The following is a 16,361-nucleotide window of genomic DNA, read 5'->3' on the forward strand; positions in this document are numbered from 1 at the left end:
GATTTTGGAGACTGGGGAGTCTGAAGCCTTGTTTTCAGAAAGTGTATCATCCTTTTATGGTATTTAGTTTGTTTTGAACTTTCCATTATTTCCAAATTCCTGCAGAAGTATGGAAATAAACAGTATTCTTTCTGATTATGACCTTTTGAAAGAAATAAGTTGTTTTTGTTTAGCAACAGCATTATCAATTTATGCCAACACATTTTTTCTATAACCAGTATAATTACAGATAGCAGTAAGGTCTGGAAATACCATCTCTTTGTTAACTCTCATTATTAAGGCAATAAAAAATAGTGTTAAAGTTTGTTTTCTGAGTATTGATCTGTCTGAACTTCTTTGTAACTAAAAAGAAAATCATACCTGTAAGTGAAAAGCTGGTTGCATTCAGTTGCTTTGCTGGCCAGCTGTTGTTGTAGGGTAATAAGGAACCCTAAGTGAGACTGCTAATCTTGTGTAGAAGTTAAGAGACTATGCAAGAAACTTTGCAACATTCAAGCTGCATTTCCATATTGTCCAAAGAATATTCATTTTGGTATTTCCTCATTGCCTAATACATAACCTCCTCCACTTTTGTGCACAATCTCTGTATGTGTGCGTGTGTTTGTATATGTGTGTTTATATGTATGTGTGTATATTTATGTGTCTGTGTAGGAGGTGCTTTTCAAATGTTAGCTGAAATATACTTAATCTGTGCATCTCTTTTTTTTACTGAAAGCGATCCCATCAAATATGATGATTGATGGAACCAAAATTCATTGAGGCCCTGCTGTTTGCTAGGCATCATGATAGGTCCTAGGCGTATGTGTTTTAGATTTTTGCAGATCTGCCTGGGAAATGCTTCTTTTCTCTCAGGGAAGACAAACCAATAATTATAACACACTGTATTAACAGAATTATGTACAAGAGGGTTGGAGGCACAGGAGAAGAGCATGTAAATTATTCTCAGTGGTCGCGAAAGTTTTCTGAAGAAGTATTTCTTGAGATGGAGTCTCATGCAGTCTCCCAGGCTGGAGTGGAGTGGTGCCATCTCAGTTTACTGCATCCCCCACCTCCCAGGTTCAAGCAATCCACCTGTCTCAGCCTCCCAGGTAGCTGGGACTACAGGCATGCACCACTGTGCCTGGCTAATTTTTGTATTTTTAGTAGAGACGAGGTTTCACCGTGTTGGCCAGGCTGGTCTTGAACTCCTGACCTCAAGTGATCCACTTGTCTCAGCCTCCCAAAGTGCTAGGATGGCAGGCACGAGCGCCCGGCCTCAAAGAGGTATTTTTTATGCAAAGAAGAGTAGAGGTCATTTTAGGCAGAGGAAACAGCATGGGCGTAAAGCATAGTGGCCGGAGCTATAGTGACTTCCCCTGGGAACTACAGGTAATTCAACCTCTGCCTCCTGGGTTCAAGTGATTCTCCTGCCTCAGCCTCCTGAGTAGCTGGGATTATAACCATGTGCCACCACGCCCGGCTAATTTTGTATTTTTAGTAGAGATGGGGTTTCTCCATGTTGGTCAGGCTGGTCTGGAACTCCCGACCTCAGGTGATCCGCCCGCCTTGGCCTCCCAAAGTGCTGAGATTACAGGCGTGAGCCACTGCACCCAGCGTAATTTCTGAATTCTCTAAGATTATTTTTTTAAGAAGAAAGAACCCCTAAAAATTTAATATGCACTGTGACCCTTAAAAGAAACAGCAGGAAGTAAAAGCTGATTAATTTAATGCATATTAAATAAATATAACATATATGTTTAATGTATTTTCCTTAGTGGGAGAATACAGGCTGGAACTGGATGGTGGAGAAAGACTCAAGGATAAAATTGAGAGGAAAAAACAAAGGATAGGAATGGAGAACAAAAGATGGGGAAGGGGCCAGACGCGGTGGCTCATGCCGGTAATCCCAGCACTTCGGGAGGCTGAGGTGGGCGGATCACCTGAGGTCAGCAGTTGGAGACTAGCCTGGCCACGTGGCGAAAGCCCGTCTTTACTAAAAATACAAAACTTAGCTGGGTATGGCATGGTGGTGTGCGCCTGTAATCCCAGCTACTCAGGAGGCTGAGGTAGGAGAATCACTTGAACCTCGGAGGCGGAGGTTACAGTGAGCCGAGATCGTGCCATTGCACTCCAGCCTGGGTGACAGAGTGAAACAGTCTCAGAAAAAAAAAAAAAGAAAAGAAAAGAAAAGATGGAGAGTGGAGAGCACACACCGGGTAGTGGGAGGTAGAGTTAGCAGATTTTCCAAGGATTTTTAAATGATGTGTACTTGATGTAGGTTTCCCTGCCATCCAGTGCTCTTTAACTATAGATCCCCATAATCATTATTTACAGTTTTTGTATGTTTGTGGTTATTTTTAGAGACTACTCATGAATAATTGAAACAACTTATCTTGAAAATTTTCCTCAAAGATAAAGCAGGAACTACTAGAGAAATGCTACTTCTTGACTAGATAAAATCAGTCTTCACCCATATTTTAATTCATTACAGTGAAGCTCATACATAGTTATAGTGAGCCATAATCTTTTGAAATTGAATTTTGGCAAAGTTTGATTTTTCAAAGAGGATTTTCTTTGTGGTGAGACTATTTTATTGAGGATATTATCCTTCTTTTATTATCAAACTTTTAGGTCTTCTACTTCCGTCTCCTGTCATCTCAGATTGCTATGGCGCAGAGATGGGAATCTAGCTGTTGGGGTTGCTGTTTATTCAGGGAAAAATGGCTTGTGTTTCATCTACAGGCTGGTCTGTAATTGCTTGGGTAAGATGATAATGGAATCTCATAGCTAAACTTAAGGCTTTTTTCCTGTACAGTGCATTTCATTCTTCCTAGTATTTGCTTTTCCTTTTACCAAAATTAATGCATCAAAAGGATGGTGGACGATCTGATGAACATAATGTTCATTTAAAAAGTTGGGTAGACTGAACAATTTTTGGGAAAACGAAAACAAGTCAGGTAGATGAACAATTTTAGAAAAAAGTAAAATCTTCCCTTGGATGCGTGAAAAAACCCTAATTTCTGTCTCCTACTTTCCTACCCCACCACTTTCTTTTTTTGCATGTATTTATTTTTACAGGCATGGAAGTTTTTAATGGGCATTCACTTCTCTTATCTTAGTTCTTCCTGCTTTTATCTCTTTTTCATTTTCTTTTTTTTTTTTTTTTTTTGAGACGGAGTCTTGCTCTGTCGCCCAGGCTGGAGTGCAGTGGCACGATCTCGGCTCACTGTAAGCTCCGCCTCCCAGGTTCACACCATTCTTCTGCCTCAGCCTCCCGAGTAGCTGGGACTACAGGCGCCCGCCACCATGCCCGGCTAATTTTTTGTATTTTTAGTAGAGACAGGGTTTCACCGTGTTAGCCAGGATGGTCTCGATCTCCTGACCTCGTGATCTGCCTGCCTCGGCCTCCCAAAGTGCTGGGATTACAAGCATGAGCCACTGCGCCCGCCCCCTCTTTTTCATTTTCATGTGTTTATTTTCCTGACATATACTTACCAAATTCCAAGTTATAGTGCAGACTGGGACTATCTTACTGAACCTGACATTGTGTCCATTTTAAGCTAGCCCAGCAGGCCCTTCATTTTGGTCTAAGGCTGTGTTCATGAAGACTGTCCCATTGTATCCCCACCACCAATAGGGATGGATGCAAAGGGTCCAGGACGTTAGTCAGTGTCCCCTTGCCAGCTCTTAGCTAATAGCCAGTTTAATGGTGAATCCATATCTATCGTGAGCTGGAAGAGCTGAAGGGCACACGGTAAGGGCCAAATAAAGGTTTGGATGAATTGAGAACTGAACGTGCAAAGAAATAAAGCTCATAACTGAAGTCCTTAAGAAATGAAGCTTTTTAGGCAAGCACTTCTGTCCGTAAGTCTAGCCAATTAAGTGTGCAGATATAAGCATGTGTCCCAATGTGTGTCCATGAGTGACTACTGAAGCCCTCAGGTGCTCTGGTGACTTCATATGCAAGCGTGGCCTGGCAGGAACTGCCTGTGCTATGACTAATCAGGAGACTTTCCAGGGAAAAGGATGTCAGGCATGGGGATTCCACATTTAGCGTCACTTTTAGTATGTAATGACTTCCATATCCTATTTGAAGGATCCATTCTCATTAGGATTCTTCATGCTTGAAATACACCCTTACAAAAGCTGAACTTTCTCACGTTGACTAAGAACAAGATCATCTTTGACAGATTTTTGAATTGAATTGGCAAAGCAAAATTCTCCTCAAGTCCAAGGGTTTCATTTTGCTCATGCTCTTTCGTTCCATTGTGTTTTAAACCAGGTTGCTATTATATAGAGTATTTTAGCAGCCTTGATCTTGGAAACATCAAGACCATTGTTCCTATTGTTGCTGATTTAGTGTTACAGCTGCTTCCTCTTTATGTGATTTAATTTGAGGTTTCAGCCCACCAGGGGGCTATTGGTCCCCACCTATGCAGCTTGAAGAGCTGGCTGCTGTTTCTCTATGGATGTTATTTCCATTCCTATTCATAGCGATTTTTCCCCTTCTATATTCATCTAGCAACAGCAAGGCACTGTTCCAGGAACCCACACTCTCTACATAAGGCATAACATGGAACCATTTGGATGGAAAAATTATAAATTAAAATTATTCTGTTCATTTTAAAATATTCATATTGTGTTGCTCAAATGCCAGTAACTGGAAAATCATGGATAATGTCCTGTTTTTATAACCTCTTTCAGAATGTTTTAAAATCTGTTTATGTTGTTACTTAGCCATCTCTTTTCCTGGAGTGGATTTTGTGATAAGATTTTGTTAAAAAAAAGATTGTATGAGTCCAGCGCCTAATGGCAGATATAATATTAAAGATGATACCACTAATTTCAGTCCACTTTTTAAATAGAAAAAGATTTATTCCGTGTACAGAGAATATTTATAAAATTGTACACCTCTAAAAATAGCCTATGGACATGCCAGACTATTTCTTTGGAGGATAAAGCTTTTTATTAAATGATTAAGATTAAGCAAAGGTTTATTATTTCTGGAAGTAGGTATTTAATTTAAACTATGAAAACCCATATATCCATAATACTACTAATTTTCAGATGCTAAAAATATCTTCAGCTTTTAAAATGTATTGAGCTTTTTATTTTTTAAAAAGCTTTTTAAGTGCTCTTTTTTCTATGTATTCTGTTCTCAATGCTAAGTTATTGATTCTTTAATTTGGGAAAACTAAAATCTTATTTCTATCCTTGTATTTTCCATGTTGTGTGGGTGTGGGTGAGGATGTGTATGTCTCAGAAAGATAGACAGGCAGGAAAAAGTGAAAATGTTTTCATATGGTTTAGTTTTTTGCTGAAGTAATTATATTTCTTATGCTAAAGGAAAGAATAGTGATTGGAAATCTTTTTGCTGTGTTTTTTTCTACCTCATGGAACATATTAAGAGGAGCGAAGATCTTTATTTTATGCTTTTTTATTCTGTGAGTTTTAAGTCCACGTTCACATAAAAGCCATGTGTTTTATTTGTTGTCTCTCTTGGCTAGGAATATTTAAATGTATTTTTGAAACTCTTCTGTTCTGTCAACTAAAGGTAATTTAAAATTATAATTTTAAGACACTTTCTAGAAACTTATACTTTGGTTCAGGCTAAAGTCTTCAGTTTGTGTGCCTGTGTGTGTGTGTTGAGGTTCTTCAGAAGCAACAAACCACTTGAGCGTGAGCAAATTTCACAGGCTCCCTTCATTGTTTGTTTTAGCCTCGTTAATCATTTGGCCTTTGAAAATAGGCTGATCATTTCATTGAATATGGATTGAGAAAAGTTCTGTGTGCCATGAAAGGCCTGAATGGCTCTTGCTGACTCTGTTTTATTCATTTTAAATAACATGAGGGGGATCCCAAAGTATTTCCTCTGGACTTTTGAAGCATTATCATTGCAGGGTATGATATTTGAAGTCAGGATTCTTTATAACAATAATAACGACAAGAATATATATACATTTTCCTAAAGTCTGATTTGTGGAAAATAGAAAGCAAACTGTCAGTAAACAGGTTTTCCAACACAAACACTCAGTTTAGGCAGCAACCAACTTTTTTGAATGCAGCAACAAAATGAATACTATTTTTAATTGAATAATGAAGACAGACTAGAATAGTTGCTATGAGAAAAATGGATACCTTATAATTAATAATATGTGAGCTAAACCTTAACTACACTTGACATTTTTCCTTAGGTTGGTGCCATACTGATTAATGAGTTAACTGCTGATGGTGCCTATTCTGTGGAGTGACTGTTTCAGTTCCAGGGCTTAGAGTGTTCAATAAAATAGGTATTCTCTGAGGTGGGACTGAGGCTTTAGTCTTGATCAAAGTGCTTTGGGGGAAGCACAGTTGAACTGATTGGCTGTGAATGTTAATCACTTCATAGGACACACTGATAATTTACAGCATTGTTGTAACTCTCTGGTGTTCGTAAAATGAACTTAATAACCCACTGGCACCATGGGATAAGCTGCTTTTTCTCTGCAATTGAATACCCAGACTGCCTGAATAATAGTGTTGAGAAATACTGCATTAAAAACAGTGAGCAGCTGTATGATGAAGGAAACAGCTCTGCCACAGATTTGTTAATTATCTCTTTTGATTCACAGAGGGTGTTTGTGAGATATGGTTGACCAGTGAAGACACGGGGGCTTATGGCAGAGATATTGGCACCAATCTCCCCACACTCCTGTGGAAACTGGTTGAAGTGATTCCTGAGGGAGCAATGCTGAGGCTTGGCATGACAAATCCGCCCTATATTTTAGAGCATCTGGAGGTAAGGAAAAGCACCCTATTTGCATGCTAACATAGACACTAACCAGTCCAGACAGTGTGGCAGCCTCAGTATCATCACATCAGCTTCATTTAAAACTCCTTCACATTTTTTTTTTGTAGTCCCGCATTTCCAAGAATGAATCAAGACTTTCAAATCCCCTTCTTTGGCAGGCAACACTTTTTTACTTCCTCATCATTAATTAACATTGCCCAAATTTTTCAATACTTGCCACCTTGCCACAGTTCTTTGTTTCTTGTTTGTAGTCCTTCAGTCTTCCAGCACATAAATTTGCCTCAGTTCCTCCATTTTGACCGCTCGTCTGATTCAGAACTGCTAATGTGTTGCATTAATTTCGCAACCCACAGTCAATATTGTGTTATCCAAACTACTGTTAGCCATATCAGAAAAGGGACTGTGCTTGAAGCTCGAGGATGAATTTTCAATTTCATCCCTTCATCTGGAGATACATAGGGGTGAAGTTGAATCAGAGGGACACAGAGCAAGGTACTCTTCCACTTGATTTGCACATGCATTACTGTGGCACCTGTATTCCCATTGTAAGGCCCATCCCTGAATACATGACATTTTCTTTCAGAGAATTTCCTTCCTTGTTTTTCACTTATCAACATAATGGTAATCACTGTGAACAAAGGTGATTCTGAGATCCCTGATTTTGTTTTTATACTTTTCCACAGATCGGGATGCTTACCCTTAAGTAGCTGTGTCAAACTAGGCAAATGGGCATATGTCCAGGTAACTGTGGTACCTGAAGGCAAATGACACAGTAAATATGAGCAAAGAATATGGACAGGAGAGCAACCATATAAATGAAGAAGTACTTGCTAGGATCCATGACTACTATTTGAGAAATAAAATAATTACTTTAGACCCATAGTTATGGAAATAAAATCTGATTAGTGCAATTGCAAAGTCATGTGTAAAGCATGAAAATGAATAACTTTTATTTTTTTCAAGTGTGTTCTTTGCAGTATGTTTGTGCAGAAAAATAACATCCCAAAAAGCTAAAAGCAACCACTGCTGCTGAAATTTAATGCAAATGCTAATGAATAGCTAAACATTTAAAAGATTATTTCGCTGATTTGATTTTAAGACTATACTTGTTGAGGTTTTTGTTGAATGGCTTCCTTAATATCAACAACCTATTTCAGAAATTCTGAAAACAGAGTTAATAATTTGGCTGCTAATTATAAATACATAATGAGGGAGTTTAGCAATTTTAATTTTATTATTTACATTTTTCTAGCTAGCTCTTTCTAGTAAGGGTATATGATTTATATGTTAAGTTTAGTGCTTTAGACAGTGTGGGATGATTATGATTTGCTATTTAAAAATAAGTTGCAGGCATGTCAACTTTTACTTAACACTTTGACTCAACACTTGATAAAGCAAAGTGATTCTCTGTAAAAAAAAAAAAAAAAAAAAAATCAAATATGCTAAGAGCTGTGACAGTCTTGCTGTGTTTGCAGTAAATGTGAGGCATACATCGTGAAGACCAGGAGATATACTAGACGTGTGGAGGGTAGGAAGGGAAACAGGCCCCATCAATATAAGGTTTATGATAACAGCCACTTTTTTTGGATTGGAAAAGATCTGATCAGGGATCCAGGGACCCACAAGAGATAGAGTCAGGTAAGTTCAAAAAGGAAGAAGCACAAGGAAGAAAAATCTTGTGTTGGCTCTGAGGTAACTAACCAAATACTCCTTGGAATAAATTCAGCATTTTAATTGATTGCAAGATTGCAGCAGCTAATACTGTGTGTATAGCAAATCCTAGTGCTCAGCACCTGAAGTAGTGCCAGACTTGGGGAGCGTCTAAAAATCAACAAAAGATCTGAAATATAACTTTATACTTTGCCTGGAAAACACCAGATGTTTAGTTCCTAGATCGTAGTTGGAGTGATAACAAGTTTTGATGGTCATGACATTATATTTTTTAAAATCCTCTGAAGTATGTATCATGTTGGCCTTTCCTCCTACATTGTCATCTTGAGGCAACAATCTTGTTATATCTGTCTGTGGATCTATCCCACCCAGTAGTGGCTCAATAAATGAGTGAATATGAGAATGAATACAGGAAGAGCTGCCCAGGCTCAGTGGCTCACACCTGTAATCCCAGCCCTTTGGGAGGCCGAGGCAGGTGGATCACTTGAGGTCAGGAGTTTGAGACCAGCCTGGCCCACATGGTGAAACCCCGTCTCTAGTAAAAACACAGAAATTAGCTGGGTGGAGTGATAGGTGCCTGTAATCCCAGCTACTCAGGAGGCTGAGGCAGGAGAATCGCTTGAGCCCAAGAGGCAGAGGTTACAGTGAGCCAAGATTGTGCCACTGCACTCCAGCCTGGGTGACAAAGCAAGATTATCTCAAAAAAAAAAAAAAAAAAAAAGGAAGAGCCTTCTTCATAAAATAAATTATAGAGCCCACACTGTAGTCTTGAACTTTGAAATCCTAACCCCTGGCCAGAAGAGGCAGCAAAAGATGATGAAGTAAATGAGCTTCAAGGGTGAGAATTGTTCCCCACAGAAAGCCACCCACTACTCTGCACTTTATGTGCAGGAGGTAATCCAGGCTGTGATACCACACCCAGGGAGAAAGCCATCCAAAAGAAACAGAGCAAAAGGAAACAAAGATATGCAAGAATCAAAGGTCTACACCATCTCAAAGTAAGAGGTTTTAAACTCTTCCTTTGTTTCCTGGACCAGACCTTCACACCTTGCTGTTTCTTCTCATCCTCCTCTGCATGGCAGAGCCCAGAACACTCAGGATTCCACAAACACATCGTATGTAACAGAAAAGGTGACTGAGCCCCAGAAGGCTTACATGGCTTCCCAGTGTCAAAACGGGCAGTAGGGAAGGGAGCCCAAATCTGGTGCTCCTCAGTCCTGTGCACAGCAATACCTTGTACATTTCCATTTTCCTCTCACTAGGCTTAGACCACTCTACAGAAATTACTTGACTTATCTCAAGGGTACTGAACAGAGTTCACCAATAAGAAAAAACAGAAGATGAAAACAGAAAAAAATAACAGCAAATGAAGGTGGTGATTTTTTAAACTATAGGGATTGAAGGAATCCACTCTTGAAATAACTACCCTGATGCTTTAAAACCTTCAGGGCAAGGATTTCTTGAGAATTTTATTGGGAAGACAGCCTTCTTGTGTTTTTAGAAGATGCTTCACACAACAGACTTTAATTAGAGAGTACTTGGCTGGTTTGTTTTCCTTCCTCTTCATTCTGTTCACTTCTTATTCACCTGACTCTCAGATTTTTTAAAAACAACTTTTACCAACTTAAAAGAAAAAAAACCAAACAGTTTAAAGGGAAAGTTATATAAAGGAAAGCACCAAAGTTTTTATCATTATTTAAAAGTATGCCGGGGAAAGATACATCTATTGAGAATACATTTTATTCAATCTCCATAGGAATAGAGGATGCACATTACACTTAACACAGGATCACTTTTAAGGTTTCTTCAAGAGTCTAGCATTGTGTGTGGCACTTTATATAGCAAATACTGAATACATGTGTACTGAATAAAAGGAAGGGAAGGAGAACTCTTTATCACTCATAGGCAGACAAGTAGTGAAGTGTGTGTTTGGGACATCTGCAAACTTTATTTTTAGTATCACTGCCCTTAAAAAACAATATAGGATTCATTTGAATTATGATATAGCTGACAAAAGATATCTCAAACATATATATTGTGAAAAAAACACTCTGGAATTGAAGAAATATACCTATGAGCTTATACAATGCTGTAGTAAACTTGCATATGATAATAGAATCAATAGATAAAACAATAAACATGCTTTATGTCACCTTAAAGTCCCTATTGCCTAAAGGATAAGAATAAGCCCTTGAGGACATTCAGGGTACTTATTTTTTTCTATTACATTCTTATTCATTTGTCCCTTGAGTAGTGCCCTAATGATATCTCCTCTATATCTTTTTTTTTTTTTACCATTTCATACTCCTGAAATGTTTACATTACCTTTTTCTCATGATATACTTACCATATGATGACAGTTGGTAGTAATGTGTTAATCAGACATACTAATATTTGCTACTACATGTGTTGGCTAATATATCGCCCCTGTAGTGGCAAATAAGATGTATTTTCCCTGTGTTTGCTTTCCTGTTGATATTGCTAATGTAATAACCTTTGCATATTCCTCTTTAATGAACTCTGACCTTGTAGAAAGTGAAGCGGTTTATGAATTTGATTACTCTTAAAACTACATTGCTTAGTTTTGTCCTCCTAGTGATAGGTAGCCTACAGCTAAAGTATTAATTCAGACTGAAAATAATACATGTGAACCCAACAAGGTTCACATGAGACCAGTGATAGTGGTATAATGGCTGCTGCTAATGAGGCACCTGAAATCACTGCTAACTGATAAAATCAGTACAATTTATCAAGTGCTTATTGTTTGCAAGAAACTGAGTGCTTTACATGTGTGATCTGTTTTTCCTCTTAGAACAGGCTAGCTATATAGATATTATTATCCTCAATTTTCTTTTGCCCACTTTTTTGAGATGGGGTTTTGCTTTGTTGCCCAGGCTGGAGTGCTGTGGCTATTTATAGGTGTGATCATAGCGCTCTACAGCCTTGAACTCCTGGGCTCAAGTGATCCTCCTGCCTTAGCTGGGACTACAAACATACACCACTGTGCCTGGCTGTTATTTTTGTTTTGTTAATTGAGAAGCCATGGGTTCGAAAGGTTAGATAACTGGCTAAACCGCATAGCCAGTTAGCCGCTGAACTGGTTTCTAATCTATTCTAATTCGCAAATGCTTTCTACTCTACTGCATCTTCAAGGAAGCCTTCCCAAACTCTTCCCACATATGTTCTGTGCTTCATAGTACCCCTGTACAACAGGTCTCTGTCTCTTTGGGCACTCATAATGGTGCATCATGATTACTTATTTATGTAGAAATCCAACATGACTGTTATCATAAGGGAGATGTTGTCTTATCCATCTTTGTATATCAGTGCCTGTGATAACACACACTTCATACACCTAATAAATGTTTACTGAATGATGTGATAGCTCAAAGTTTAGTTTATTAACTGTTCCTTGACTTCATGCCTCATGTACTGAAGTACCTTCATATCTGCTGAGCATCCAGTTTTGGAAGAGTTTGGGAACGGTTGTCATATATGTTTCTCATGAGTCACATTTCTGTGAAGATGTACTGGATGGTTAGGGATTCATCTAAGGGATGCGTTATGTTTATTTGCCCAGCTAAAATACTATAGCGATAGATAGTATCTTTAGGGCTGTCTAGAACAAATGAGCTTATTGTATGATTATCGAATTTGTAGATGATCCAGGCTCTTAACTTCTTTCTCCTCTTCCTGCTTGTTAACTTACACTGCTTTTTAAAATCTCCACTAGAGAGGATACATTAAAATCAGACAGTTTGTCTTGGTTTTAGTTTCGTGAATTGGCTGATAGGGAAAAGATGTTAAAGCTCTTGGGCAGTAAGGAAAAGAGTAAGTATCTGGATTTTATGTATTTAAGACACATGCATGCATATGTTCATTGCAGCACTATGCACAATCACAAAGACATGGAGTCAACTTAAATGCCCATCCACAGTAGACTGGATAAAGACAGTGTGGTATGTGTACACCATGGAATACTGTGCAGCCATAAAAAAGAACAAGATCATGTCCTTTGCAGGAACATAGATGGAACTAGAGGCCATTATCCTTAGCAAACTAACGCAGGAATAGAAAACCGAATACCACATGTTCTCACTTATAAGTGGGAGCTAAATAATGAGAACATGTGGACAGATAGAGGGGAACAACAGATACTGGGGCCTGCTTGAGGGAGATCAGGGGGAGGTGGGAGAGGTTCAGAAAAAGAAAATATCGGCTGGGCGCAGTGGCTCACGCCTGTAATCCCAGCACTTCGGGAGGCCGAGGCGGGTGGATCACGAGGTCAGGAGATCGAGACCATCCTGGCTAACACAGTGAAACCCCATCTCTACTAAAAATACAAAAAATTAGCCGGGTGTGGTGGCGGGTGCCTGTAGTCTCAGCTACTCTGGAGGCTGAGGCAGGAGAATGGCGTGAACCTGGGAGGTGGAGCTTGCAGTGAGCTGAGATCGCACCACCGCACTCCAGCCTGGGCAAAAGAGCAAGACTCCGTCTCAAAAAAAAAAAAGAAAAGAAAAACAAAAAAAAAACATCAAGTACTACGCTTAGTACCTGGATGACTAAATAATCTGTACACCAAACCCCCAAGTCATAAGTTTACATGTATAACAAGCCTGCACATGTACCCCTGAGCCTAAAATAAAAGTTAAAATGTTTATTTTAAAAAGTTATTCTGGTCCTCCCTCTGTCATGAATAGTTCAAAGTAACTTATCTCCCTTTAAGAGACTTGCGTGTCTCAAAATTGTATGAGAATTTTAGTGCATTACTTACAACCTGCGCCAGAGAGGGCAAACTGGTTAATCTAGATTGCAAGTGCTTATTAAGGACTATTCCTATATTCAAATTATAATAAAACAAGTTATATATTTTTAAACATATTACTTTGTAAAATATTGCCAAACAACATTGACACTAACATTCACATTGATATTATGCTACATTTTATTTAGCTTGAATTAAAATATATAGTATTGCTCAAGATTTATAGCTAGTATACTTATGGTACATGTCATCATAAGGTTAATTACAAATAGTGATATTTTAAATATCTCTTCTGTTTTTGGTTTGGAAATCTTTTAATCACCGTAACAAATCAGCTTCCTGCTACCCTAGATTTTTGTATGTTTACTTCTACTTCAATGACCTTATATTCTAACCTAATTCTGTATTTAGTGAAATAAATTCATCTGCTGAAAGACAGTAGATACCTGTCAAGGACTTTTGTTGCATGGTAATTTATGAACATTAATAATATGTTTGCCTTTGCCGAGTTTTAAAAAATGCCTCATAGTTTCAAAATAATAGCAAACTCAATACATGCTGTGCTTATGTTTCATCAAAGCAATACAGATTTTCCAAACTGAACTCAGCAGTTCAAGCTGTGTCTTTAAACATTTCTTTTCCTTAGGGTTTATACTTTCTGGAATAATAGAATAATATGTAAATATATTCTCTACTGTTGTATACAAAATATTTTTCCCCTTTTGATGAATAAAAAGACATGCTAGATTACTTATTTTCAGCAAGGAAATGGAAAGGAAAAATCTTTTATTTCAACCATCCACCTGTAGCTTTTGAGACATGTCAGTATGTGGTTTGATCTAACTGTTGGCACTGTTTTTTGCCATTTATAATCATCAGTGCTCTATTTGATTCTTACCCTGGCACTTGCGAATAAATTTTAAGAGGTCAGTGAAACACCTAAAACTAGAAACAGAAGTTTGTGTCTTTCTGAATATTAAAGAGAGAAAACTTTTATCAAATATTAAAAGGGCTCATATACATTTTCTTTTTAAGTTTATCAGGCTTCATTGGGAACCTAATTCTGAGAGCTGGGAACAGCCTCTCTGGAAGGGAGGATGTGGATGAAAGGAATGTCCTTTCTTGCCTGCCAAAGGATCTAATACTGATAAAAGATGAAATTGAAATGCTACTTCCCCTTAGCAAAATTATAGGCTCTACCTAACATTCTAACTCTTCAACTTCTCTGCTAGTCCTGGGTTTGAGCAGCAGGAAGCTTTAGTTAGGCCCTTCCACTAAAAAAAAAAAAGACTTGCATCTCTGCCCATACCTGGGTCTCGGCCTCTTTGTTCTGTGATACTACTTGCTTGTGCCCTTGTCCAGGCCTCAGCCCCTAATTCCAGCTCTGCCCAAGAAGCCAAAGCTTTTCTTGATCTCAACTACTCCTCAGAAAAATTTACCGAGCTTGTTGCTTCCTACTACTGAGCCTTTGTTTGTAATGTTAAGTCTGGGTGAGTAAGCCTCATGATTACATGTAGACCGAAGGACCCCAAAATAAATGAACTTATAAATAGACTTTATTTCAGAACAGATTGCACTTTGTTGCTGCTGAATGTTATTTTATCCTTATTGTGCCAGGTGTATTTTCTGGGTAAATGTTTCTCATGTTGAAAATACTGGGTACCTCTGTCTTCCTGAGGAACACAAGAACATGCCTAGATCATACTTAAAAATTCTCTTTATATGGCCATCAATAATTTATACAGAGACCTATCTTATGTGCTTCACTGGTATTCTCAGTTCCAGTGTCTATATTATGAGAAAGCAGGCATGAGAGAATAAATCTAGTGTGAGAATATAAACAGCCAAATCATTCATGTTTGTCCTGAAATGCTTTAATCCACATTGTGGTATAAACTTCTGAACTTCCCAAACTTAGATAAATTTACAAGAATAAAACAACCCCATTAAAAACTGGGCAAAAAACATGAACAGAAACTTTTCAGAAGACAACGTACATGTGGCCAACCATCATATGAAAAAAAAAACTCAACATCACCGATCATTAGAGAAATACAAATCAAAACCACAATGAAATACCATCTCACACCAGTCAGAAGGGCTATTATTAAAAAGTCAAAAAATAACAGATGCTGGCGAGGGTACGGAGAAAAAGGAATGCTTATACACTGTGGATGGAAGTGTAAATTAGTTCAACCATTGTGGAAGACTTTGTGGAGATTTCTCAAAGACCTGAAGACAGAAATACCATTTGTCCTAGCAATCCCATTACTGGGTACATACCCAAAGGAATATAAATCATTCTGTTATAAAGTCACATGCGTGGGTATGTTCATAGGAGCAGTATTCACAATAGCAGAGACATGGAATCAACCTAAATGCCCATCAGTGATAGACTAGATCAAGAAATGTGGTACACAGACTATGCAACCATAAAAAAAGAACGAAATCATGTCCTTTGCAGGGACATGGATGGAGCTGGAAGCCATTATCCTCAGCAAACTAACACACAAACAGAAAACCAAATACCACATGTTCTTGCTTATAAGTGGGAGCTGAATGGTGAGAACACGTGGACACATGGCGGGGAACAACACACACTGGGGCCTGTCACTGGGGCCATGTGGGGTGGGAGGAGGGAGAGCATCAGGAAGAATAACTAATGGATGCTGGGTAATGAAATAATCTGTACAACAAACCCCCATGACACAAGTTTACCTATGTCTCAGGGCTACCCATGTACCCCTGAACTTAAACAGAAGTTAAAAACAAAACAACAAAACTTCTGAACTTCTCAACCACTGTCATCATTTTTTCCCTCTTGCCATTGACCCAAATTATTGAATATTGTTTATAAAATGCAGTGACACACGGATATTTGTTCCCAAAAGAGACGGTTAATTTTCGTGAGAGGAAAAGAACATAGGGATACCATGGTTGTCAAGATGATGAGTGAAAAGGCCTTAGCAAATCCTTTATAAATAAACTGATGTTTGGCCAGGTGCAGTGCCTCACACCTGTAATTCCAGGTGTTTGGGAGGCCAAGACAGGAGGATTGCTTGAGGTCAGGAGTTTGAGACCAGCCTGTTCAATACAGTGAGATCCGTCTCTGCAAAAAGTTTTTTACAATTAGCTTGGTATGGTGGCACACATCTG

At 38.5% G+C, this 16,361-nt stretch overlaps 1 protein-coding gene across 17 annotated transcripts in view; it reads left to right on the forward strand.

The window, feature by feature from the left end:
• Positions 1–16,361, forward strand: part of CDKAL1 (CDKAL1 threonylcarbamoyladenosine tRNA methylthiotransferase) — a 697,948-nt gene that overhangs the window by 414,372 nt on the left and 267,215 nt on the right. For 15 of the 17 annotated variants that reach the window (XM_047418949.1, XM_047418952.1, NM_017774.3 and 12 more), the window contains one exon: positions 6,591–6,757. The exons of 1 other annotated variant lie outside the window; for it this stretch is intronic. In XM_047418949.1, coding sequence (XP_047274905.1) covers positions 6,591–6,757 — 167 coding nt within the window. Of the gene's footprint in view, positions 1–2,502; positions 2,742–6,590; positions 6,758–16,361 lie in introns of those variants that run through there. One more of the 17 variants, XM_047418957.1, reaches the window with a different exon arrangement.

The sequence above is a fragment of the Homo sapiens genome, chromosome 6, assembly GCF_000001405.40.
Source record: "Homo sapiens chromosome 6, GRCh38.p14 Primary Assembly".
In the NCBI taxonomy this organism is placed as follows: Eukaryota; Metazoa; Chordata; class Mammalia; order Primates; family Hominidae; genus Homo; species Homo sapiens.